Source organism: Homo sapiens, chromosome X, assembly GCF_000001405.40.
Source record: "Homo sapiens chromosome X, GRCh38.p14 Primary Assembly".
Taxonomy (NCBI): Eukaryota; Metazoa; Chordata; class Mammalia; order Primates; family Hominidae; genus Homo; species Homo sapiens.
Genome location: NC_000023.11, coordinates 71,712,513 through 71,740,464, shown reverse-complemented (window position 1 = coordinate 71,740,464; position 27,952 = coordinate 71,712,513). Strand labels below are relative to the sequence as shown.

At 48.5% G+C, this 27,952-nt stretch overlaps 1 protein-coding gene and 1 pseudogene across 1 annotated transcript; both read left to right on the top strand.

The window, feature by feature from the left end:
• The first annotated feature begins 3,761 nt into the window (after nt 1–3,761).
• LOC107987328 (cytochrome c oxidase subunit NDUFA4-like) lies at nt 3,762–4,015 on the top strand (annotated as a pseudogene).
• Nucleotides 4,016–22,179: 18,164 nt separating this feature from the next.
• On the top strand, nt 22,180–26,094 carry CXorf49 (chromosome X open reading frame 49). Its single transcript, NM_001145140.2, has 6 exons — nt 22,180–23,537; nt 24,114–24,270; nt 24,814–24,890; nt 25,173–25,218; nt 25,773–25,814; nt 25,921–26,094. The coding sequence occupies exons 1-5, from the start codon at nt 22,314–22,316 to the stop codon at nt 25,811–25,813; spliced, it is 1,545 nt and encodes a 514-aa protein (NP_001138612.1). The 5' UTR covers nt 22,180–22,313; the 3' UTR covers nt 25,814; nt 25,921–26,094.
• The last annotated feature ends 1,858 nt before the right edge of the window (nt 26,095–27,952 follow it).

Below are 27,952 nucleotides of genomic sequence, written 5' to 3'. Positions count from 1 at the left end.
GAGACATATTCTATATCTATATAATATAGACATATTCTATATCTATATAATATAGACATATTCTATATCCATATAATATAGAGACATATTCTATATCCATGTAGTATAGAGACGTATTCTATGTCCATGTAGTATAGAGACGTATTCTATGTCCATGTAGTATAGAGACGTATTCTATGTCCATGTAGTATAGAGACGTATTCTATGTCCATGTAGTATAGAGACGTATTCTATGTCCATGTAGTATAGAGACGTATTCTATGTCCATGTAGTATAGAGACGTATTCTATGTCCATGTAGTATAGAGACGTATTCTATGTCCATGTAGTATAGAGACGTATTCTATGTCCATGTAGTATAGAGACGTATTCTATGTCCATGTAGTATAGAGACGTATTCTATGTCCATGTAGTATAGAGACGTATTCTATGTCCATGTAGTATAGAGACGTATTCTATGTCCATGTAGTATAGAGACGTATTCTATGTCCATGTAGTATAGAGACGTATTCTATGTCCATGTAGTATAGAGACGTATTCTATGTCCATGTAGTATAGAGACGTATTCTATGTCCATGTAGTATAGAGACGTATTCTATGTCCATGTAGTATAGAGACGTATTCTATGTCCATGTAGTATAGAGACGTATTCTATGTCCATGTAGTATAGAGACGTATTCTATGTCCATGTAGTATAGAGACGTATTCTATGTCTATGTAGTATAGAGACGTATTCTATGTCTGTGTTGTATGGAGACGTATTCTATGTCTATATAGTATAGAGACGTATTCTATATCTATATAGTATGGAGATGTATTCTATATCTATATAATATACAGATATATTCTATATCTATATATTATTTAGATATGTAATATAGATATAAAAGAGATTGACTTAGCTCATGGTTCAGCAAGCTGGGAAGTAGGAGAGGCATGGCACCCGTAACTCCTCAGCTTCTGGTGACAGCCACCTCCTAGGCCAAAACATAGTGGAGAAGGCCAAAGGAGAAGCAGACACATGCAAAGAGGGAAAACCCGAGGGGCATGCTGGCTTTATAAGAAACCTACCGTTATGGGCACTAATCCAGTCTCACCAGAGCCAGTACTCACTCACTACCTCCAGAACGGCAGCAAGCTGTTCATGAGGGATCTGTCTCCATGACCCAAACACCTCCCACAAGGCCCCATCTCCCAACACCACCACATTGGGGATCCAATTTCCACATGAGTTTTGGCGGGGACAGACCAATCATATCCGAACCATAGCAGTATATTTCTATATTCCCAGGATCTGGAAAGATCCCAATAAGATGAATTTTTTCTATAATGTGCATTTTTCTGTGCACTTAATGTATAATAAAGAATTTGCCTGGACCTTGTCCCTGAGTCCTGGGAGATAACCTCTAATCCCTTGCAATTTCCTGAGTGATGGGCATGCCTTTGTCATTCCTGGTGAGCCCCACGGACCACACTACATGGTTTATGCTAATGAGGTGAATCATGGGAGGCCCCTAGATAGTTTATGTAATGAGATGACTCTGAATGGAGGCTGGCCATACTAGGAAGACCAACCATATGACTAGAGGGTTGGGCCATTGAACTATGTGATATCTGCCCAATCATCAGAGAGACGGGGGGAGGCTGTAGATTGAGTTAAACCAGATGGCCAACTAACAGATGGCCAACACAGAGGGTTTATCTGAATTGTCTAGTCTGCCATTGCCAGGAGGAGAAGACATTGGGTTTATTCCAATCTCAGTGGTCACTCCTCAATCTTCTTTACTGGTTCCTCATCTTCTCTCAAAATTCTCTTTTTAGGGATGCGAGGATGTTGAAAATGTTCTCTATTTTGATCTGGATGGCGGTTACATGGGTGTAGATCTGTGTTAAGATTGTACACTTAAGTTTCTGTGATTTGTCGTATGCATGTTAACCCTCAATTTATTTTATTTTATTATTTATTTTATTTTTTTTTTGAGACGGCGTTTTGCTCTTGTAACCCAGGCTGGAGTGCAATGGCTCCATCTTAGCTCATTGCACCCTCCGTCTCCTGGGTTCAAGCGATTCTCCTGCCTCAGCCTCCCAAGTAGCTGAGATTACAGGTGCCCAACCCCAAGCCTGGCTAATTTTTTATTTTTGTAGAGATGGGGTTTCACCATGTTGGTCAGGCTGGTCTCGAACTCCTGGCCTCAAGTGATCCACCTGCCTCGGCCTCCCAAAGTGCTGGGATTACAGGCGTGAGCCACTGTGCCCGGCCTGTTACACCTCAACTTTTAAAAGATGTCATATAAAAGTGGAAATACATGGTACAAGCTGGAAGAAGATCTTTATCCTGCATACAATTGACAAAAGATTGGTTATCAAGAATATATTTTGAGAACTCCTAGAAATCAGTAAGAAAGACAAACAACCCAGTAAGAAAATAGGCAAAAATCATCAACAGGAATTCCATAGAAGAAGGAACCTATGTGGCCAATAAACACATGAAGATATGCTCAGCTCATCAGTAGTCAGGGAAATGCTAAACATGACCTCAAGATAAATCTTGTACCCATTTGATTGGCAAAGATTTAGAAACCTAGCAACATCAAAGGTTAGAGAGGATGCAGAGCAGTGGGATCTCATACAGCTTGCAACACGTTGGGAATATAAACGAACACAACCAGTTTGGAAAACAATGTGGCATCAATATATAAAGTAGATCATTGACAACTCAGCAATTCCTGTCAATGTCCACTGGACAAGAATTTCACAGCAGCACTGACCACAGTAGCAAAAAACCTGGGAACTATGCAAATGATCACAAATAAGAGAATGTGTAGATAAACTGTGGTGTATGCATACCATGATATACTATGTAGCAAGGCAAATGGGTGAACTGCAGTTTTATGCTCAACAATGGATCAATGTTAGTATAAGTATGAAAAAAGCAGTTACCACAAGACTACATGCAGTATGACAACCTTTTCATAAAATTCAAAATCAAGCAAAACTGAACAGTATAATTGCCAGGCGCAGCGGCTCACGCCTGTAATCTCAGCACTTTGGGAGGCAGACGTGGGTGGAGTGGTTGAGTCCAGGAATAGGAGACCAGCCTGCGCAACATGGCTACACCCCATCTCTACAAATAATTAGCCAGGCATCACGGCGCGCGTTTGTGCTCCCAGGTACTCGGGAGGCTGAGGTGGGAGAATCACCTGAGCTGGGGAGGTTGAGGCTGCAGTGAGCCAAAATCATAAGTATATATTTATATATATATACGAGCTGGGGAGGTTGAGGCTGCAGTGAGCCAAAACCATAAGTACATATATATATATATATATATATATATATATATATATATATATATATATATGTGTGTGTGTGTGTGTGTGTGTGTGTGTGTGTGTGTGTGTGTGTGTGTACTTATTTGCAATAAAAATCAAAGAAATACCAAGTACACAATTTAGGTTAGGGTTGCTTCTAGTGGGAGTGAAGAGGGTCAGGAGGATGCAGTGAGGGGGAGCTCAGAGGTGGACGTAAGTTACTGGTAATAGTCTAGTTTTTGGATTGGGTAATAGGTAAATGGGAGAACACTATATTATAAAATAAATAAACAAATAGGGCCTGACATCAATCATGAGTAGCATGTTATGAAACCAGGAGTATTGTTAACTCAATTCTATATAGCCTAAGTCTCCTCCAAACATCAAATGCTGCATTGGATTACTTAGACCCGGGCCTGAAATATTTGTTCTTCCCTCCTTCCAGGCTACGCAGATGCTCCCCCAGCTCTTTGGTCAGGCCAGGAAGCATTCGAGTGTGATCTCTCTCTCTTTGTATATATGTGAGCAGGAGGCACCAGAGCAGGGCTGCATGTCTTGCATCTGGCACTGTTTAACCCAGGTGTTAGCTGGGACAGAAAGAATCCCCCAGAACCCTGGAATAAACTGGGTCCCAATGATCAATACAAGTTCTACTCAGTGAATGTAGATTACAGCAAACTGAAAAAGAATGTCCAGACTTCTAAATGAAATGTTTCCCTACAAAGCAATTTAGAATGAAGGTCTTCCAGAGGCCCTTTGCACAATTTCCCCCTTAACTAGGAAATATTTCTCCTCTAAGTGCACTAAAATCATGTTAGTGTATCGTGTTGGGTTTTAACACTGATTAGTAAATATGTTTACCCATTTATTATGAAGAACATGACAAAGGAAAAAGGATACGGACGAACAGCCAGATGAAAGAGATGCATAGGACACAGTATGTGGGAAGGGGCATGGAGCTTCCATGCCCTCTCCAGGTGCACCTCCCTCCAGGAACTTCCATGTGTTCAGCTATGCGGAAGTTCTCTTCTCCCCAAATTCTTATCCTAACAAATAGAGAGCCCCCGGGCTCAGTCCTTGGTCTGATTCTTTCCTTTAACTACACTCTTGTCATAGCTGATGGAAGACCCTGGTTTTAATACTACCTGTATCAGAAACAAGACAAACATGCCCCCTTTCACCACTTCAATGCAACATAGTACTGGAAATTTTAGCCAAAAAATTTAGGCAAGAGAGAAAAATTTAAAGCACACAAATCAGAAAATAAAAAGTTTCTGGGCACGGTGGCTCACACCTGTTATCCTAACATTTGGGAGGCTGAGGATGGTGAATCACATGAGGCCAGGAGTTCGAGACCAGCCTGGGCAACATGGCGAAACCCTGTCTCTACCAAAAATACAAAAGTTAGCTGGGCGTGGTGGCATGCGACTGTAGTCCCAGCTACCTGGGGGGCTGAGGCATGAGAATCGCTTGAACCCAGGAAGGCGAGGCTTCGGTGAGCCGAGATCCCATCACTGCACTCCAGCCTGGGTGACAAAGAGAGAACCTGTCCCAAAAAGCAAAAGAAAAAAAATAAGAATTTAAATTATCTCTGTCTGCAGACGACAATGACATGATTTTATATATCTAAAATCTTAAAATATTTTATGAAAAACCTTAAAATTCAAATGAATTTTAAGGAAAGTTGCAAAATACAAAGCCAACATACACAAATCAGTAGCATTTCCATACACTAATTGCAAACTATCTGAAAAGGAAATCAAGAAAACAATCCCATTCACAGTAGCTCTCAAAAATAATGTAAACTACTTAGGAATAAATTCAACCAAGGAGTTGAAAGATCTGTACGCTGGAAACTATAAAACACTGATGAAAGAAGTTGAGGAAGCCACAAATAAATGGAAAGCTATCCAATGATTATGGATTGGAAGAATCAATATTGTTAAAATGTCCATACTACTCAAAGCAATCAACAGACTCACTGCAATCCCTATCAAAATTCCGATGCTATTTTTACATAACAGAAAAAGCAATCCTAAAATTCGCAGAGAACCACAAAAGACTCCAGTTACCCAAGGCAATCTTGAGCAAGAAGAACAAAGCTGGAGGAATCACAACCTGATCTCAAAATATAATAAAAGCTAGAGTAATCAAAACAGCATGGTACTGGCATACAAACAGACACATGGACAAATATAATAGACTAGAAAAAATCCATGCACTTATGGTCAAGTGACTTTCAACAAAGATGCTAAGAACACACAATGTAGAAAGGACTGTCTCTTCAATAAATGGTCTTGGGAAAACGGAGTATCCACATGCAGAGGAATAAAATGGGACCCTTGTCTCACATCATATACAAAAATCAAGTCAAAATGGACTCCGGATTTAATCGTAAGATCTGAAACTGTAAACTGCCAGAAGAAAACATAGCGAGAAACATCCATGGCATTGACCTGGGCGATAATCTTTCCGCTATGACCCCAAAAGCATGAGCAACCAAAGAAAGAATAGAGAAATGGGATTACGTCAAACTGAAAGGCTTCTGCACAACAAAGGAAACGATCAACAGAGTGAAGAGGCAACCTACAGAATGGGAGAAAATATTCACAAACTATACATCTGATAAGGAGTTAATATCCAAAATACATAAGGAACTCAACTCAATAACAAGAAAACAAATCACCTGATTTTAAAACGTGCAAAGGATCTGAATAGACATTTCTCCAAAGAAGACATACAAATGGTCAACAGTTGTATGAAAATGCTCGACATCACTTATCATCAGGGAAATGTCACAATGAGCTATCACTTCACACCTGTTAAAATGGCTATTATCAGAAAGATAAAAGAGAACAAGTGTTGGCGAGGATGTGAAGAAAAGGGAACCCTTATGCACTGTTGGTGGGAATGTAAATTAGTACAACCACTGTAAAAAAACAGTATGGAGACTTCTCAAAACACTAAAAGTACAACTATCCAGCAATCCCACTACCGGGTATTTATCCAAAAGAGAGGAAATTGGTATACCAAAGGGATACCTACACTCCCATACTTATTGCAGCACTCATCACAATAGCCAAGGTATGGAATCAACCATCAGTGGATGAATGGATAAAGAAAATGTGGCATATATACACAGGAAATACGATTCAGCCACAGAAAGAATGAAATCCTTTCATTTGCAGCAACATGGATGGACCCGGTGGTCATTAAGTTAGGTGAAATAAGCCAGGCACAGAAAGACAAATACCGTGTGTTCTCACTCATATGAGGGAGCTAAAATAGTTGATCTCATAGAGGTAGAGAATAGAGTGATAGATATGAGAGGCTGGGAAGGATGTGTGGATTGGAGGACGAGGGGTTGGGAAGAAGAGAAGTTGGTTAATAGGTACAAACATATAGTTGAAAAGAAGGAATAAGTTCTAGGCCAGGTATGGTGGCTGATGCCTGTAATCCCAGCACTTTGAGAAGTCGAGGCGGGCAGATCGCATGAGCTCAGGAGTTCCAGACCAGCCTGGACAGTATAGTGAAACCCAGTCTCTACAAAAAAAAAAAAAAAAAAAATTAGCCAGGCGTGGTGGGGCGCACCTGTCGTCCCAGCTACTCGGGAGGCTGAGGTGGAAGGATCGCTTAAGCCCAGGAGGTTGAGGCTGCAGTGAGTTGTGACTGCACCGCTGCACTCCAGCCTGGGACAATAGAGTGAGACCCAGTCCCCAAAAAAACAAAGACAGAGTAACTTCTAATGTTCAGCAGCAGAGTAGGATGACTACAGTTAACGGCAATGTATTGTATATTTCAAAATAGCCAGAAGAGAGGACTTGAAATGTTCCCAATACATAGGAATGAAAAGTATTCCAGGTGATGGTTACCCCAAATATCCTGAATTGATCATTATACATTCTATGCACGTGACAATATACCACATGTACACCATATATATGTGCAAATATTATGTATCCATTAAAAATTAAAATTAAAGAAATATAAATAGTACTATCATTTAATTTGGTAATCTCACTACTGGATATATGGCCAAAGGAAATGAAATCAGTATGTCAAAAATATCTGCACTCACATATACATTGCAGCACTGTTCACAACAGCCAAGACGTGAAATGAACCTAAGAGCCCATCAAATGGATGAATGGATAAAGCACATGTGTATGTGCACACACAATAGAATAGTATTGAGCCTTTTTTAAAAAAATAAAAGGAAATCCTGTCATTTGTGGCAACATGAGTGAATCTGGAATATATTATGTCGAGTGAAATAAGCCAGGCACAGGAAGACAAATACTGTATGATCTCACTGCGATGTGGAATCTTAAAAAATCAAACTTTTTAGAAACAGAGAATAGAATGGTGGTTACCAGGGTCTGGGGCTGGGAAGGATTGGGGAGATATTGGTCAAAGGATACAAAACTTCATTTGGACAAGAAGTCTAAGTTCAAGAGATCTATTGTAAACAAGGTGACTATAGTTAATAATAATGTATACTTGAAAATTGTTAAGAGGGTAGGTTTTAAGTGTTCTCACCACAAAAGATGAAAGGTATGTGAGTTCATACATATTGTAGTTAGCCTAATTTAGCCATTGTACAATGTATACGTATTTCAAAGCATCATGTTGTGCACTATAAATATATACAATTGTGTCATTACGAATAAACAAAAATAAAATACAAAGGAATGAAATAAATTCCATTTGTTCAATAAAACTGATGTGATACTGGTGAAGATGTGCAGAAACTGGAACCTTTGTGCACTGTTGGTGGGAATGTAAAATGGCACAGCTGCTGTGGAAAACAGTATGGCAGTTACTCAGAAAACTAAAAAGAGAATTACCATATGATCCAGTAATTCCATTCTGTGTCTATATCCAAAAGAAGAGAAATCAGAGTCTCAAAGTGCTGTTTGTACACCCCTGCTCATAGCAGCATTATTCATGAGAGCCAAGAGATGGAAGCAACCCAAGTGTCCACTGATGGATGAATACAGAAACAAAGTATGGTGAGTTATTATTTGGCCATTAAAATGAATTATGATTTCGCCCATAAAAAGATGGAATTCTGATAAATGCTACAATGTGGATAAAACTTTAGGACATTATGCTATAAAATGAGTCAGTCACAAAAGGACAAATACTACATGGTTCCACCTGTATAAGGGATCTAAAATATTCAAACTCAGAAACAGAAGGTAGAGTGGTGGTTTCCAGAGGCTGGGGGGCAGGGGAAAACGAGGAGTTGTTTAGCGGGTATACATTTCAGTTTTGCAGTTGAAGACATCCTGGAGATTGGCAGCACAGAACTGCGAATATATTTAACACTACTGAACTGAACACTGAAAAATGCTTAAGATGGTAAATTTTATGTTCCGTGTATTTTAACATAACTCAATAGAAAAGTGGTGTAATTTCTATCTCTGGAGTGGGCCCTGGAAAAAAATATCGATACTATGATGACTCTCATAGATACTTTTTCAACCCAGAGCCAGACCTTCGTCTACTCAACATCTCCACTTGGATACCTAACACACATCTCAGATTTAAACATCCGAAACCAAACTCCTGACATTAAACACAAGAAGCAAGAAATATGAACATATTTTCTGATTCCACTAATATAAAAGTACAGAACAGTCAACACCAAGCCATATCATTATTATTTCTTGAATTTAACTTTTTTTTTAAGTTCGAGGGTACACGTACAGGTTTGTTACATAGGTAAACTTGTGTCGTGGGGGTTTCTTGTAGAAATTATTTCGTCACCCAGTGATTAAGCCTAGTACCATTTGTTACTTTCCCGGTCCTCTCCCTCCTCCCACCCTCCACTGTCCGATAGGCTCCGGTGTGTGTTGTTCCCCTCTTTGTGTCCCTGTGTTCTCGTCATTTAGCTCCCACTTATAAGTGGGAAGATGCGGTATTTGGTTTTCTGTTCCTGCATTAGTTTGCTAAGGATAATGGCCTCCCCATCCAACCACGTTCCTGCAAAGGACCTAATCTCATTCTTTTTATGGCTGCATAATATTCCATAGTGTATATGTACCACATTTTCTTTATCCAGTCTACCATTGATGGGCATTTAGGATTCCATGTCTTTGCTATTGTGAATAGTGCTGCAATGAACATACACGTGCACGTGTCTTGATAATAGAATGATTTATATTCCTTTGGGTATATGCCCAGTAATGAGATTGCTGGGCTGAATGGTACTTCTGTCTTTAGGTCTTCGAGGAATCACCACATTGTCTTCCACAATGGTTGAACTAATTTACACTCTCACCAACAGTGTATAAGTGTTCCTTTTTCTCTGCAACCTCGCCAGTATCCATTATTCTTTTACTTTGTAGTAATAGCCATTCTGACTGGCGTGAGATGGTATCTCATTGTGGTTTTGATTTGCATTTCTCTAATGGTCAGTGACGTTGAGCTTTCTTTCATGGGATTGTTGGCCGCATGTATGTCTTCTTTTGAAAAGTGTCTGTTCATGTCCTTTGCCCACTTTTTAATGGGGTTGTTTGGTATTTTTCTTGTGGAACTTGTTTAAGTTCCTTATAGATGCTGGATATTAGATCTTTGTCAGATCCACAGTTTGCAAAAATTTTCTCCCATTCTGTAGGTTTTCTGTTCACTCTGTTGACAGTTTCCTTTAGTGTGTAGAAGCTTGCTCTTTAGCTTAATTAGACCCCATTTGTCAATTTTTGCTTTTGTTGTAATTGCTCTTGGTGTCTTCGTCATGAAATCGTTGCTCGTTCCTGTGTCCAGAATATGATTGCCTAAGTTGTCTTCCATGGTTTTTATATTTTGGGGTTTTAATTTAAGTCTTTAATCCATGTTGAGTTAATTGTTGTATACGGTATGATATACTTTGGCTGTGTCCCCACCCAAATCTCCTCTTGAGCTGTAGCTCCCATGATCCCCACGTGTTGTGGGAGGGATCCGGTGGGAGGTAATTGAATCATGGGGACGGATTTTTCCCGTGCTGTCCTCGTGATAGCGAATAAGTCTCATGAGTTCTCATGGTTTTATAAAGGGCAGTTCCCCTGCACATGCTGTCTTTTCTGCCGCCATGGAACACACACCTCTGCTCTTCCTTCGCCTTCTGCCACGATTGTGAGGCCTCCCAAGGCATGTGGAACTGTGAGTCCATTAAACTTCTTTACTTTATAAATTACCCAGTCTCGGGTATGTCTTTATTAGCAGCAAGAGAACAGACCAGTACCTGGTGTAAGAAAGGGATCCAGTTGCAGTCTTCCATGTATGGCTAGCCAGTTATCTCAGCACCCTTTGCCGAACAGAGAATACCTTCCCCATTGCTTGCTTTTGTCAGGTCTGTCAAATATCAGAGAGTTGTAGGTGTGCGGCTTTATTTCTGGGCTCTCTATTCTGTTCCATTGGACTCCGTGTCTGCTTTTGTACCAGTACCATGCTGTTTTGGTTATTGTGGGCCCGTGGTATATTTTGAAGTCGGGTAGCGTGATGCCTCCAGCTTTGTTCTTTTTCGCTTAGGATTGCCTTGGCCACTCAGGCTCTTTTTCAGTTCCATATGAATTTTAAAATAGTTTTTCTAGTTCTGTGAAGAATGCCAATGATAACTTACTAGGAATCACATTGAATCTGCAAATTGCTTTGGGCAGTATGGCCAGTTTAATTATATTGATCTTCCTATCCATGAGCATGAATGTTTTTCCATTTGCTTGTGACATGTCTGATTTCCTTGAGCAGTGTTTTGTAGTTCTTCTTGCAGAGATCTTTCACCTCCCTGGTGTGGTGTATTCCCAGGTATCTTGTGTGTGTGTGTGTGTGTGTGTGTGTGTGTGTGTGTGTGTGGCAATTATGAATGGGACTGTGTTCCTGATTTGGCTCTCTGCTTGACTGTTGTTGGCATATAGGAATGTTAGTGATTGTTCCCATTGATTTGGTATCCTGAGACTTTGCTGAAGTTGTTTATCAGCTTAAGGAGCTTTGGGGCTGAGACTGTGGGGTTTTCTAGATTTAGGAACATGTCGTCTGCAGGCATACTGTAGTATTAAAAGAATGTAGGCCGGGCGCGGTGGCTCACGCCTGTAATCCCAGCTCTCAGGGAGGCAAGAGGCGGGAGGATAGCTTGAGCCCAGGAGTTCGAGACCTGCCTGGGCAATATAGCGAGACCCCGTTCTCCAGAAAAAGGAAAAAAAAAAAAAGATAAAAGAATGTAGTATAGGACGTGGGACCAAAAATCATAGAGAAAACTGAGGAAAGAATGATCACAAAAGTAAATGTGTTGGTTTCCTCTTGAAGGAGGAATGAGGCTGAGATCAGGCAGAGACACCCCAGGAGCTTTGGGGAATGCTGGCGGTGTTCTCCTCTGTGACATGGGGGTGTTTCTGTAGAGATGCCCTTGATAATCACTATTAAACAACACACACATATTGTGAACTTCTCTCTATGTATGTTACATTTCAACATAAAGAGGGTCGAAATTGCTAATAACAAATAACACGCATTTGTAGTTAAACACTTCTCACAATCCACAGACCTGGAAATGACTGATTAGTTTTCTGTATGTGTAGTTTTCCAGTTTTAAGAATGTTCTACAAATGGAATCATACATTATGTAGAGTTTCATATTTGGTGTCTTTAGCACAATGAAATACATATAAGACCTCTAGAACTGCAATGTACTCTTTCTTGACCTCAGTACTCAATACGTGTTTTCCTCACTTCTCAACAGTTCATTCACAGTCGATTGGTTTTCTAAACTTGTATATATGTGTAGTATGCTTTATAAATATCATATGATAGTTAACTTTATGTAATTTGTTATATCTTGGTAATGGACTTTTCTTAAAAATGGACAGTATCCCTAAGAATACCCCGTACATTTCCATTGCAAAAAAAAAAAAAAAAAAAGGTATTCCATCATGTGAGTATACCACAATTAACTGATATAAACTATGAAGGTAAAAATTTGCGTTGCTGCCCCTTAATGTTGTTGCCTTAATTTCTTTTTCTCAGGTCCTAAGTCGTCTGCCCCTGAGAATAAGTGGATGGGGAGGTGACAAATCTCCCGTGAGAAAAATGTACCAAGTGCATGGTGTTCCAACACATAATCACAAATTCTGAATGAAAACTTGCCACCCAAATATAAAATATTTACCAAAACATCGAAATTAATATCACAATTATGTAAGCATCGTTCCTACGATGTTTGGTGAAATCTATGAGAATTTGAAATCAAGCTATCACTATCAATAAACTGATATTAGTACTCGCAAGGAGATCTGCTATAAATAGAGAAAATAAAATTTTGGTTATCCTTCTGGTTATAAAATACTTACCTGTTTAATGCAGTGTTACTTCCCTTAGCACTATTGTTTTGTCTGCTTATGGTGGCAGGCAACGTACAGAAAGAAAACATCACAGTTTATGTGCATAGTTTAATAAATGATTGTCCAGTGCACCTGCACAGGAACGCTCCCCTAGGTCCCAGAGAAGAACACCGCCAGCATTCCCCAGAGCCTCCTGGGGTGTCCCTGCCTGAGCTCAGCCCCACTCCTACTGCAAGGGGAAACCAACATCCTGACTTTTCTGATTGTCCTTTCCTTGCTCTTCTCTGTGGTTTTATATCCTAAGTATGCATTCTTCAACAAGGTAGGTTAGTGTTGCCTGTCATTTGAAGTTATAGGAATGGAATCATTAAGCATGTCCGTGTTGTCCCTTGCTTCTTTCCCTCGATGTTATCTTTGTAAGATTCGCGCCTATTATTCCATGGAGGAGTACTTTGTACTTCGTACTTTTCCGTTGCTGAAATAGTATTCCATTGTATTAACATACCACAATGTATTCATTCCGTCCCATGAAAGTTGCGATTTTCATGGTTTCCCATATTTGGAACTGGATGATCACAAAAATACTACTCATAAACCCTTGTCGGCACCAGTAAAGGAGTCCTGAGAGGGACGTGTAGGCTGCTAAAAGCACATATTTAAAAGAGGATCGCAGACAATTAACGAGAAAACGTTCAAAAAAGAAGCCCAACGTAAGACCAAGGAAAGTAGAAGGAGGTCATCAAGGTAAAAGGAGAAATCAGTGAAAGCGAAAACAAGCATAAGGATCACAAAACCAGAAGCTGGGTGTTTGGAAGAGGAATGAAATTGGTAAAACTCTTGTGAGACTGGTCAAGAAAACAAGGGAGAAGGGCACCGCTATCAGGAAAGAAAAGGGAGAAATAAGCACAAACGATGTTACGTCCGTTCTCGTGTTGCTATATAGAAATATCCAAGACCGAGTCATTTATAAAGAGAAGAGCTCATGGTTCTGCAGGCTGTACGGGAAGGGAAGCATAGCGGCTTCTGCTTCTGGGAGGACTCAGGAAGCTTGCAATCACGGCGGAAGGTGAAACAGAAGCAGGTACCTGTTACATGATAGGAGCAGGAGCAGGAGCAAGAAAGAGAAAGGAGAGGTGTCACACACTTTTAATCGACCAGACTCATGACAACTCATTCGCAACCATGAGGACAGTACCAAGTGGATGCTGCTAAACCATTCCTGAGAAATCCAGCCCCATGATCCAGTCACCTCCGACCAGGCCCCACCTCCAACATTAGAAGTCACAGTTGGACACGAGACTTGGTGGGGACACGGTTCCAAGCCATATCATATGCAGACATCCAAAAGATAGAAAGAGGATGTTGTGGGGGAACTGGATATTCACACAGAGTGCCCATGCAGTAACAGCACATAGCTAATTAAATACAAAGAGAAGATGGCACCTTCACAATGGAGTAATCTGGAACAACGCCCTGGCCACATGGTCGGTCAAGATGAACATCGCCAGTCATGAGAGAAGCCTACATGGAGAATCTGCTGATGTCATGCACCGAGAAGGACGGCACGTCTGCTATGCAGTAGTCTTGCCAAAAATGTTAAACCTACCTGAATCTAATCACAAGGAAGCCACTCGACAAAGCCAAGTTCAAGGGCTTCCCGACAACAGCTGCAGTGATTTAAAGCACACTTTAAACATTGCTTTAAAGCACACTTTAAAGGACACTGAAGAGACTTGATGGGCCGGGAACCATGGCTCACGCCTGTAATCCCAACAGTTTGGGAGACCTAGGCGGGCGGATGGCTTGAGCTCAGGAGTTCCAGACGAGCCTGGGCAAGACGGTGAAACCCTGTCTCTACAAAAAATATGTTAAAAATTAGCCAGGCATGGTGGCACTCGCCTGTAGTCCAAGTTACTCAGGAGGCTGAGGCAGGAGGATGGCTTGAGCCTGGGAGGTCAAGGCTGCACTTAGCCAGGTTCACGACCCTGCAAGCCAGCCTGGGCGACAGAGGGAGACCCTGTCTCAAAAGAGACTTGACTACTAAATGCAAAGCATGATGTTTGGTTGGAAAGAAAATTTTGTTAGAAAGCAGCCATGAGGGATACTATGTGACCATGGGGACAATCGGAAAATGTTTCATGTGATCATACAGTAGAAAATTGTGTGGTCTCAATGTTACATTTCCTGAGTGTCATGGTGGCATTAAGGTTTTGTGGGAGCCCATGCTTCCCTGTAGGCGATACATGCTGCAGTATTTACGGATGATGGATCTAAATGATTCCAATGGATCTCAAATGATTCCACAAAACAATAAAAAAAAAAAAATACACGCACACGCTCAGAAAAAGATGGGGGCGCGGCATGGAGGGAGGGATGAAGCAAATGTGAGAAAATGGTAACAACTGCAGGATCCAGTAGAAGAATATACGTATGGGTGCTCCTTTGGCTTTCTGTGCAACTCTTCTGTGACTTCCTAATTTTAACAAATGCAATCTGAGATGAAGGGGGATATTATGGACCACTTTATTACAGTCAGTTTGAAAACAAAGAAAAAGGTAACCAGTCGCTAGGAAACAAAATCCACCAAAACTAACACAAGAAGGAACAGCCAACCTGAACCGTTCCAGAATCATTACAGAAAGATATGAGTAGTCAAAGGCTTTCCACTAATAAACTCTAGGATTCCCCACCACATTCTGAAAAACATCCTAGGAATACCTGTCTTCCGTTTGACACAAACTCGTGCAGAAAATTGAAAAGGAGGAACAATCCTCCACTCACTGTATGAGCTTGGCATAACCTCGATACCAAATCCTGCAGGGACACTTAGAGAAATATTGCAGATCAATCACAGGCTCATGACATAGAAGTAAAAACTGGAACCAGAATCTTAGCACACGGAAGCCTACAGGATATAAAAAGGAAAATACCTAATATGGCATGACTAATATTGGCTTCATCCCAGAAATACAAACTTAATTTCTCTTCAGAAAATACAATGGTATAATTCTCCACATTAACAGATTTGGAGAGAGAAGCATGCTCTTCATAGTCACAAAAGGTATTGACTAAATGTCAATTTCCATTTGAGATGTATTGCTGACAATTTTTTTTTCTAAAAAGTCAGGACTATTGGGCTATAACTTACACAGAGGTCTGTGAGATCTCGTAAATGCGTATGGCTGTAAAAACACCAGCACAATATATATAGATATAGAGCATCGCCATCCCCCGCCCCCCTCCCCCGCCAGGTTCCCTTACGTCCTCTTGTACTGAACTCCTCGTCTTAACCCTCAGACCCTGGCAACCATCAATCTGTTTTGTGTTCCTAGAGTTTTGCCTTTTCCAGAATGTCACATAAATGGAATCACACGGTACGTAGCATGTGCATTTGGCTTCCTTCAGAGAAAGACACTCGGACTGCGATTCCCTAAAGGTGCAATGTACAGTTTCATGACCTGGGTAATAGCTACCTGGCTTGATCACCTTACAACTGTTTGTCAAATGGCCGGCTTCTGAGTTCTCTCCGTGTGCGTGTGTGTGCGTGTATGTGAGACAGAGAGTGTATGGGTGTGTGCGTGCGTGGGGGGGTGTATTATGTTTCAAAAATGTAATTTTACATTTAACCGCCTCTAACTTTTATATCTTGATGATGGTTATTAAATGGCAATTATTAATCCTTTAAGAGAAAGTGACTGATTGTTGGAAAAGTCAGTAGAGTCATTTCCTCTGTGGTGTGCAAAGTGGGAAGTAGTGATCAGGATGGGGCAAACAGGAGGGTTCCAAAACCCTGCCAACCTTCTGTTCCTCGCTCTGCATGGTAGTGACCCGGACTTCAACAACTGCACAACCACATGGGCGCCGTTCACACTGGATCACGAGAACGGAGCACCCTGGAATCCCACAGATAGAGTTTGCACGGCCACCCTGGCGGCCACAGCCTCCGCGGCCATACCTGGCAAACACAAGTGTTGGCCTCATCCTTCGAGGAAACGCATGATGAGAAAATGTGTGGGGAAAAGGAGGAGTTCTTGGGGTGGAGGTTGAGGACAGATGTGCATGAGGTTGTCCGAGTTCACCCAGGAGTGTGTTCCAGGCGGGCTAAAGTTCATGGCTGGTACTCACCATGACCACTATGATCCTATGATTGCCATCTCACATCCCCGTGTGCGGTGCCCTGGGCCTCCGCCACAGCCTGGAAGGCCACCCTTGGGGACTCTGGCTGGCGGGCGTGCTAGGAGACTCACACACCTTCGGCCCTAGCTGGAGTCTGAAGAGGAGATGCTCTTTTCTGCCAACAAAGTAAGAGGTCTCATATGGAAATGTACCTGTGGCAGTCCTGGCACCAGGTGTAGGTGGGATTCTGCACAGGGCTCCGCCACTGTGGCAGGCACGCAGCTCACCAGACCTCTGGAGCTCATCTGAGCTGAGTGGCAGGACAAGGCAGGAGGGGGTCTAAGGCTCTCCAGGCCAGACCCCACATTCCTCTTGGTGGGAGAGGAGGCTTGAGGGAAAAGCAAAAGGGGGCCACTGAATGAGGGGAAGGGCTCAACCTCCTCCTGTCCAATGGGACCCAGATGGATTCCTCTAATCCGAGGAGCCTCGGATTCTGCACTTACATCCCCTAGAACCAGAAGGCTCCGCCCGACCATGCGGTGTACCATGGGCCTAGGGTGTACATGTTATGGCCCCATTATTGTGCAGAAGGTGGTCTGAATATGGAACCGAGGTGGCGTGCTGGGAGGCGGGGCTGGCAAAAGCCAGCAACTGAGGGATGGGTTCACGCCTTCCAAGACTCCGTCCACGGGCTTCTCCCCTTCCACACCCTGTCGACCATGGCCCATGCCCCCCGGGGCAGTGACTGGGGCTGGAGTTCTGCCCCCACCAGAACCTGCCTAGATGTCTCCGGTGGCAAAAACCCAAGCTGGAGAGTCCCTGACACATGTCTTCCCCCAGACACCAGCCCACTGTGTTATCCCCCCAAGAAACAACCACCTGTGTCAGGGTCAAAGCCTTGGCCCAAGGAGTCAAGCCCATCCTCTCCGGTGAGGGGTTAGATTCGGATGGGGTAGGTCCCCACCAGCGTTGGTTTCCAGGTCTGAGGTCTGTGATTGACCCACCACGTGCGTGGTGGTCCCCCTCGCTGAGCTCACACCATGAGCCCAGCAGGGAGACACAGAGGGAGTATGGGGGAAGGCAGATACCGAGCCCAACCAGCTGTCCCAGGGCAGTCTCTCTTTCCCACTTTCCACCCTCTCTGTGCGTATCTTGCCCATGTGTTGGTTAGCGGGCATCGTGGTGCCCTCCCACGGGAGCTCCCCATTTCCTAGATGAGGCACCAACCAGCGACTCTGAGGTATTATCACTGCACCCACACACGGGAGTGCTGAGACATCCCATCCATCCTGTGGAGGATCAGGAGCCTACTGTGGCACCTCCAGCATTCTGAGAGCCCCGACACCCGTCCCTGTGTTTGGGGATGTCCCCTTCGTCCCACTCCACAGCCTTCTAGGTGTTAGACTTGAACAACACCTCTTGTGAAAGGGTAGATCCCAGCCCTGCTTTAGCGAATTCGATCCTTCATGGATCCTTCACCACTGCTTCCACTCCATGAATCAGTCCATTCTCGCTCAAGGGACAGCACCCACGATTAATTTGATTCCCAAGCAGGTGCTAGCAGGGGCATGCTCACGCGCGCACACACACACACACACACACACACGCTAACCTTGAATGGTATCTGCATTTCTATTGTTTTTGTCTGTTCGCAACACCCAGTCTCTTGGCAATGGGAGCTGGCAGAACCTACACACACCTCCTCACTGGAACCAGAATCTATGCCCGAATCTGGGGCCTGCCCAGCCCAGGATGCCGGCTGAAGGAACGAGGCGATCTCAACTGTCAGGGATGGTGAAGGCAGAAGAGAGAGCTCGAGGAAATCTCGTGTGACCTGGAGAGGCGGTCTGGAAGACTGACCAGGGACGCGAAAATATTATGTCCACAAAAACCTGCGGCCTTGGGGGTGGTGAAATGGTATTTCACAGGGACTATCGAAGACCAGCCAGGCCTAGCATCCACACTTGCCCTGGAAAGCAGCTGGCCATTTTCAAATCAAGGGTATGGAGTCCACTGGCTGCAGAAGGGGCTGCTGGCCACCTATAGAACACCAAGGATATGGAAGCCACTTTCTGTGTAGGTGCCTGCGAACAGTTTCCACCAGGTTGGCCAACAGGCGCCAGAACAGACTCGGTGCCCCCACCTCCAACCAACAGACTATCTTGCCCTTTTCTTCTGCACTCCATCTACCTTCCCTTTGACTTAGCCAGCCACCGGGGTGTGGCTTCTGCCTCCACAAGGCTACTGAAACTAAAGAGGGAGACCTAACGGGATTTGATAACTGAGGTTCAAAGGTGAGGGCTAAGACGAACTGAGGATGTCACGCAGGTTACTGGCCCAGATGACCTGACCGTGTGCATGGTGGCACCGGAGGGAAATAATGGCTCCAGAAAGAGGACTGAGCTCCGTCGTGTTCCTCAACAGCACGGAAATAACCATGCAGGAACGGCCACCGGGGTCAAGCCACGGGGGAGAGCAAGGATGCTCATGATGGAAAGGACAGTGACAGGACAAACAGGGACAGTGAACTGCAGGAGGAAAGGTTGCTCAAAGGACCAGGGTGCTCAAAGGAGGCCATCAGTTCCTGCTGAAGGGGAGAGAGAATAGCACTGAAGAAGGGGACCTGTGAGACCCCAAAGTGGGAGGAGAAGAGGAGGGAGCATGAGCAGGGCGTGTACAGGAAAAGCAGGAAATGCTGCTGTGGCCGGGCAGGGCCTCCCACAGCACCTAGACCCAGGGCACTATGGTGAGCCCGAGTGCAGGGCTGCTGCTCAGAGGCCCGCCCAGGCGCCCCGCAGGGAGATGGCCCACCACAGAGCGCCAGGGGAACTGTTCTTCCAGCGCCAGGGAACGGAGCAACACCCGGCACACCCCAACACTCCCAACAATCGCAGAGAGGGCAGACCACAGACCACAGAATATGAGAACGACTTTATTTCACACTGCTTTGAACTGCGTTGGGAAGGGGGCAAATGCAGCGGAAGAGAAAAAGCCCTGGCTAAGGAGGATAAGGAGGAAACTCGCTTGGCTGCAGCTCCGGACGCTGGCTCCAACCTGTGAAACAGAGCAGGCTCAGGGACTGGCTCCCAGCCAGGGCCAGCCCACAGCCCTCCTAAGCTACCGGGATTGTGGGAAGGGGCACGGTGTGTGCAACACTCACTTCAAAGGCCCTGGAACTTGTCGTTGAAGAACTGCATGGCCGCTGAAACAGAGAGGCAGAACCGGGCACTCCAGACCCAGGGAAACAGAAACTCACCCCCTGCCCCCGTGGGGAACCACCTAGCCCTGCAACCAGAAACCCCACCAGCCCTGGGACTGACTCATCCACCCGTCACCTGAATTAAATGTGGAAATGCCTTCTAAGCGGGAAAGTGGTTCTCAGGTGCTGGGCCATGCCAGAACCGTTCATTCAGAACGTGTTTCAAAGACAGATAAGCCAGCCAGCAAGCAAACACCGTACAAGCCATACCAGGCAGCAGTTAAAGGGAAAACACATGCGGTATCTCTAACCCTCCTAAGAGAAGGAGAGTTCTGGGACTCGTGGACTAAGTGTACACGGAGTTCAGACGACACATTGCTGTCTGTGCACACCCCTAGCTGGAAAGGCACAGAAGGCTCCAGGGCCAGGCTTTCCTTGGTTCTCTTCCCCAAAGGAAAGTCAGTTCCAGTGACGCCGCCTGTACCTACAGCCCACCCCCGCCCCCCGCACCAGCAGAAAGACACCGCTGTCCATCCCTGCCCCAGCCAGGGCTCCATCATACCTAGCTGCTGTGTAAGGTCCTCAATTTCCCTCTGCAGCCGGATGCACTAGACCAGCAGACACCGGAGGAAGATAAATGGTTAGTCAATTCTGGCCTCCTCTCTCCTCGTCTTCCCTGTCTCCCCCAGCCCTTAGTAGCCCCCATAGCCTGCAGCCCAGTGGTGAGGTGGGTTGGCATGAAACCCTCAATGTAAAAGAGGCACCCTCTCTCCGTGGGATGCAGAAGGTGGTGACGGGGCGGGGCGGGGGGACACAGAAATCAGTTTAACCTGGACACGGATCCCACCATCTAACGTGGACTTCTATTTCTAGGAGCCACACAAAGCATTACCCGAGGGCAACCCTGGGCTCCCAGGGGCCGGCGGAGGCCTGCCGCCATTCTCCAGGGCTGGGGCCCAGCACGCCTCTCCCACTGGGACCGACCTCCAGGTCCGCCCAGTTGTCAGCCGACCCTTCGGCAGCGGCACCTTCTGGGGAGGGGCGCCCTTGGACGCTGGGCCGGTGGCACGATGGTGGCTGGTTCGTCAGCCAGGGAGGACGAGTAGTCCACATCGTCCCCTTGGTCGTCGACTGGGGTGCCAGGCCGGCCTTCCCGGCCCCAGAGCACCACCTTTCCCTGCTCTATCAATTCGCTCTCAGACTCGAAGCTGAAGACCTCGGGATCTGTGAACCTGCTCTCGCCCTCGCGGCTGCCTGGCGCCCCCAAATCGAGGCCGTGGCCCTGGCCCCGTGGGGCTCCGGGGCTGGCCATGCGGGAGCCAGCCTGCTTGCCACCCTCCAGGCCGAAACTGGCCCCACAAACGGCTACCTTGTCGGGGGAGCTCATGGCGCCAGTCTGGGCAGCCTGGGCTGCGGGGAGACGGTCGTCCTGGTAACGGCAGAAGGGGAGAGCCGAGTCCTGCCAAGCCCGGCGGAGCGGGCCACGCGACAGGAACAGTGAGGCCTTCGGGACACCGCTGCCCTCACCCCGGGTGGAAGTACCAGATGTCCCCGACAGCGCGTGGCTTCTGCGCGTGCACTTGACGCCAGTGCCGCGACTTCTCATTGGTCCCCCTCTACCAACCAGCGCGCCCTTTGTTGGCAGAGGCCTCTGGGCTTTAACCAATCGGAACACAGGCTCTTGGTTTGCCCCGACACCCGTCATTTGACTGGGTGGCTGTGCTCTGGTCTGGTCTTGCGGCCAGGGGGCACTGGAGCTCTCGATCCACCTCCTTCTTGCTCTCCTGCTGCCTCTGGCTGGGAACCTACTTTCCAATGAGACCTCCTCTGTGCACCGGGTGCTTTGCGTGCATCACGACATTTACTCTCCCAAGCTGATGAGCTGGGGGAAGGTCTCCCCTTAATCCCCACCTTACAGATGGGACACTGGGGCTCAGAGACGTGGCTCTCCTTGGAAAGTAGGTGCCCGGCCAGAGGCAGAAGGACAGGAAGAAAGAGGTGATCGAGAGCTACGGTGCCCCCTGGCCCCAAGACCCGACCAGAGCGCAGCCACCCAGTCAAATGACGGGCATGGAGGCAAACCAAGAGCCTGTGTCCCGATTGGTTAAAGCTCAGGCACCTCGCCCCACAAAGGGCGTGCTGGTTGGCAGACGGGGACCAATGAGAAGGCTCGGCGCCGGCGTCAAGGGCGCGAGGAAGCCACTCGCTGTCCCGGACATCTGGTACTTCCGCCTGGGGCGAGGGCGGTGGTGTCCCGAAGGCCTCACTGTTTCTGTCGCGTGGCCCGCTCAGCTGGGCTTGGCTGGGCTCAGCTCTCCGCTCCCGCCGTTACCAGGACGACCGTCTCCCCGCAGCCCAGGCTGCCCGGACTGGCGCCATGAGCTCCCCCGACAAGGTGTCCGTTTGTGGGGCCGGTTTCGACCTGGAGGGTGGCAAAAAGGCTGGCTCCCGCACGGCCAGCCCCGGAGCCCCAGGGGCCCACAGCCACGGCCTCGATTTGGGGGTGCCGGGCAGCGGCGATGGCAAGAGCGAGAGCGGGTTCACAGATCCAGAGGGCTTCAGCTTCGAGTCTGAGAGCGAATTGATAGAGCAAGGAAGGGTGGTGCTCTGGGGCCGGGAAGGCCGGCCAGGCACCCCGGTGGATGACCAAGGGGACGTTGTGGACTACTCATTCTACCTGGCTGACGAACCAGCCGCCATCGTGCCGCCGCCCAGCGTCCAGGGACACCCGTTCCCAGAAGGTGCCGCTGCCGAAGGGTCGGCTGAGAATTGGGCAGATGCGGAGGTCGGTCCCAGTGGGAGAGACGTGCTGGGCCACAGCCCTGGAAAATGGCAGCAGGCCTCTGCCGGCCGTCTCCACCTCTGCGGTCCTGGGCCAGTGCGGGCCTGGAAGAACCCGGAAAGGGGCTCGAAGAGCAGATGGAGCCTCCGCGTGGATCCCCAGCAGCCCTCTGCGAAAGGCCCCACCAGGCTGCCTACCCACGACTCTGATTCCGCAGATGAGAGCAGCGACTTACCACTGATGAAGGTAGGCATTTGCCGCAACGAAGGAAGCCAGGCCAAGCCCGGCAGCCCCAAGAAGCGAGCAGACACATCCAGACAGGCAAGCTTCCACTGCAAGGAGAGTTACCTGCCTGTGCCGGGCCGTTTCCTGACCTCTGCTCCCCGCGGACTCACTCCAGTCGCAGAGAGGCCGGCTGTGGGAGAGCTGGAGGACTCTCCCCAGAAGAAAATGCAGAGCAGGGCCTGGGGAAAGGTGGAGGTCAGGCCCAGCTGCTCAGGAGCTGCTGCTGCAGGGGCCCTGCCCCAGGGCCTTTCGAGGAGGAAGATGGCCGGGGGGAAGAAGTCCCTAGGGGGTGCCTCTCAACTGGCCCTGGGGAGAGGCTTTCCTGCCTGCGGAGAGAGACTCTCAGCCGCTCCCCCGGAGCCGGCCACCTTCCCGCCATTCTCTGGTGTGCGGCCACAGGGGATGTCCAAGAAACCCCAAAAGCCTAAGCACAGCAGCCCTGGGAAGAAACCAGCAGGGAGGAAGACCAGGGAGTCCCAGGCTGCGGCCAGAGAAGATAATGACCCAAATAGAGATGAGGTCCCAAGAGCCCAAGTGAGTAGGCCCTTCTCGCCCTCCTCTCCCTCTTTACCCTCCTCCCCCCACACCTCCTCTCTTCCAGCACACACCTGTTTACCCATGCCTCCTCTGTCCCTTGCTCGAGGGTTGTCATCGGGAGCCCAGGGACACTAGAATGCCCGATGGGTGTCTTCCTCATAAGGGCACACGTTAAAGGGAGCACTTCTTGTGTGATGGCCATGCCTCTGGACGCTCTGCAGGGGTCCTGCCTCCGCCCGCAGAGAGGAGCTGGGGTGGAAGGCAGGGCTGGCAGCTGGTTTGGATCGGGTGATGCCTTAAAGTGTGGGCTGCAAAGCTGGGGCATCTAGGCTCATCAACTTCCTGATTCCTCCTTCCCTAGCTGTTGCCCAACCCACCTGGCAGGCGGCCCCGGGCTATCTCAGTATCCCCAGTGTTTTCCCTGGCTGGCCTCTGCCTCCTGGCCTGAGGCTGACTGAGGGAGAAAGTGCTAATGAGATTAGGCTCAGGAGTCTCCACCTTACCACAACCCCTCCCCACGTGTACTCACCGCCGGCCCCCATCGCCAGCCCGACTCAGAAGTTTCTGTTTTAGCTTCCCACCCACAGGCCAGGACTGCCTCGCCTGTCTGTGCGTCGTGGAGAATTCAGCAGTAGCGACCCCAACATCAGAGCTCCCCAACTTCCGGGAACTTCAGAGCCCTCGGCCTACAGCCCGGGAGGCCTCGTGCCCAGACGCCATGCACCCTCCGGTGAGTCTTGTGGGTTTGATAGGGGTGGAGGGGAGAGGGGTCGGGAGGGAAACCTCTGGCCCTGTCGCTTCTGGGGGCTCAGCCTTATTCCCAGACTTCCCTGCCCACCCAGGCAGCTGTCCCACGGGGAAACGGGGTGTTGACTGGGCTGGCTTTAAGCCACATCGTCCTCTCTGAGTGGGGTTTGTGTGGTGGGGGGCGATTTGGAGCAGCGCCCCAAACTCCCAACTCTGGAAGGAGACTTTCGGCAGTACTGAGCCCTTTTCTGTTAAGTCCTGCTCAGCCACATGGGCCCTCCCAGGGCCTGGCTGTGGCTGCCGCACTGCTGGAGTCCAACCTGGAGTCACAATGCTAGGGGGCCACAGGTGCACATGAGCTTACACTGGGGAACAGTGAAGGCAGTCCCAGAGCGGGGTTGGAGTTGCTGGGCAGAGCAGGGGCAACGTGTACCAGCAGAGGGTGATGCTGCCTCACATTAGACACCACTAGGCCCTTTCCACCTCACTGGGAGGCTTGGAAGCTGGATTTTGTGTTCTCTTTCAGGTAACCAGCAGCCGCCTGTCCATCCCCCAAGACCGGAAAGGCAGCAGCAGCCCCCGGGAGCCCAGGGCTGTCCTCGGGTAATGCTTTGTGTGGCTCCTAGAAATAGAGGTCCACAGTAGATGGTGGGATCCGTGTCCAGGTTAAACTGATTTCTGCGTCCGCCCCCTCCCTCCCCACCGCACTCCGCACATCTCCACCTTCTGCACCCCACGGAGAGAGGGTGCCTCGTTTCCATTGAGGGTTCCCTGCCAACCCACCTCGCCACTGGGCTGCAGGCTATGGGGGCTGCAGGGAGGCTGGGGAGAGAGGAGCACAGAATTGACCAACCATTTATCTTCCTCCGGTGTCCGCTGGTCTAGTGCATCTGGCTGCAGAGGGAAATTGAGGACCTTACACAGCAGCTAGGTATGAGGGAGCCCTGGCTGGGGCAGGGATGGACAGCGGTGTCTTTCTGCTGGTGTTGGGGGCGGTGGTGGGCTGCAGGTATGGGCAGCATCACTGGGACTGACTTTCCTCTGGGGAGGAGAATCAAGCAGACCTGGCCCTGGAGCCTTCTGTGCCTTTCCAGCTAGGGGTGTGCACAGACAGCAATGTGTCGTCTGAACTCCGTGTACACTTAGTCCACGAGTCCCAGAACTCTCCTTCTCTTAGGGCGGTTAGAGATACCACCTGTGTTTCCCCTTTAACTACTGCCTGGTATGACTTGTATGGTGTTTGCTTGCTGGCTGGCTTATCTGTCTTTGAAATACGTTCTGTACGGTACTGGGATGGCCCAGCACCTGAGAACCACTTTCCCGCTTAGAAGGCATTTCCACATTTAATTCAGGTGACGGGTGGGTGAGTCAGTCCCAGGGCTGGTGGGGTTTCTGGTTGCAGGGCTAGGTGGTTCCCCACCGGGGCAGGGCGTGGGTTTCTGTTTCCCTGGGTCTGGAGTGTCCATTTCTGCCTCTCTCTTTCAGCGGCCATGCAGTTCCTCACTGACAAGTTCCAGGACCTTTGAAGTGAGTGTTGCACACACCATGCCCCTTTCCACAATCATGGTACCTTAGGAGGGCTGTGGGCTGGCCCTGGCTGAGGGCCCGTCCCTGAGCCTACTCTGTTTCACAGGTTGGAGCCAGCATCTTCCTACAAGATGAACAGCTGCCACCTTTGGAGCTCCGGAGCTGCAGCCAAGCGGGTTCCCTCCATATCCTGTTCAGCCAGGGCTTCCTCTCTTCCGCTGCATTTGCCCCCTTCCCAACGCAGTTCAAAGCAATTTGAAATAAAGTCGTTCTCATATTCTGTGGTCTGTGGTCTGCCCTCTCTGCGATTGTTGGGAGTGTTGGGGGTTGCAGCGTGTTGCCCGGTTCACTGGCGGTTGAAGAACAGTTCCCCTGGTGCTCTGTGGTGGGCCCTCTCCCTGCGGGGCACCTGGGCCGGCCTCTGAGCAGCAGCCCTGCACTCGGGCTCACCACAGTGCTCTGGGTCTAGGTGTGTGGGGGCCCTGCCCGGCCACAGCAGCATTTCCTGCCTTTCTCCTACACGCCTTGCTCACGGTCCCTCCTCTTCTCTTCCCACTTTGGGGTCTCACAGTTCCCCTTCTTCAGCGCTATTCTCCCTCCCCTTCAGCAGGAACTGATGGCCTCCTTCCAGAACCCGTCTCTCTCACCTTTCCTCCTGCGGTTCACTGTTTCTGTTCTGCCCTCTCACCATCCTTTCCATCGTGAGCATCCTTGCTCTCCCCAGTGGCTTGATGCCAGTGGCCTTTCCTGCATGGTTATTTCCATGCTGTTGAGGAACAAGACGGAGCTCATCCTCCCCGCCCCTCAGGGGCCCAGTCCTCTTCCTTGAGCCGTTATGTCCCTCCGGTGCCACCATGCACAGGGTCAGGTCATCTGGGGCAAAAACCCGCTTGGCATCCTCAGTTCCTCTTAGCCCTCACCTTTGAACCTTAGTTACCAAATTCTGTCAGATCTCCTCCTTAGCTTCAGTAGCCAGGTGGAGACAGAAACCACATCCTGGTGGGAAGCTGAGCCAAAGGGAAGATACCTGGAGTGCGGAAGAAAAGGGCAAGACAGTCTCTCGGTTGGAGGTGGGGGCACTGAGTCTGTTCTGGTGCCTGCGGGCCAACCTGGTGGAAACCGCCCGCCGGTAGCTACGCGGAAGGCGGCTTCCACATCCTTGGTGTCCTATACGCAGCCAACAGCCCCTTCTGCAGCCGGTGGGCTCCATACCATTGATTTGAAAATGGCCAGCTGGTTTCCAGGGCAAGTGTGGATGCTAGGCCTGGCTGTTCTTGGATGGTTCCCGTGAAATACCGTTTCACCACCCCCAAGGCCAACAGGTTTTTGTGGACGTGATTATTTCTGTGTCCCTGGTCAGTCTTCCCGACCGCCTCTCGAGGTCACACGAGATTTCCTAGAGCTCCCTGTTCTGCCTTCACCCTCCCTGACAGTTGGGATCGCCCGCTTCCTTCAGCCAGAATCCTGGGCTGGGCAGGTCCCAGATTTGGGCACAGATTCCGATTCCAGTGAGGAGGTGTGTGTAGGTTCTGCCAGCTCCCATCGCCGAGAGACAGGGTGTCGAACAAGGACAGGAGAAATACAGATACCATTCAAGGTTAGCGTGTGTATGTGTGTGTGCACGCCCCTGCAAGCACCCGCTTGGGAATCAAATTAATCGGGGGTGCTCTCCGTTGAGGGAGAATGGGCTGATTCACGGAGTGGAAGCAGTGGTGAAGGATCCATGAAGGATCGAATTCGCTAAAGCGGGGCTGGGATCTACCCTTTCACAGGAGGTGTTGTTCAATTCTAACACCTAGAAGGCTGTGGAGTGGGACGAAGGGGACATCCCCAAACACAGGGACAGGTGTCGGGGCTCTCAGAATGCTGGAGGTGCCACAGTAGGCTCCCGATCCTCCGCGGGATGGATGGGATGTCTCAGCACTCCCATGTGTGGGTGCAGTGGTAATACCTCAGAGTCGCTGGTTGGTGCCTCATCTAGAAGTGGGGAGCTCCCGTGGGAGGGTGCCACGACACCCGCTAACCAAGACATGGACGGGCAGGATGCCCACAGAGAGGGTGGAAAGTGGGAAAGAGGGACTGCCCTGGGACAGCTGGTCGGGCCCGGTGTCTGCCTTCCCCCATACTCCCTGTGCGTC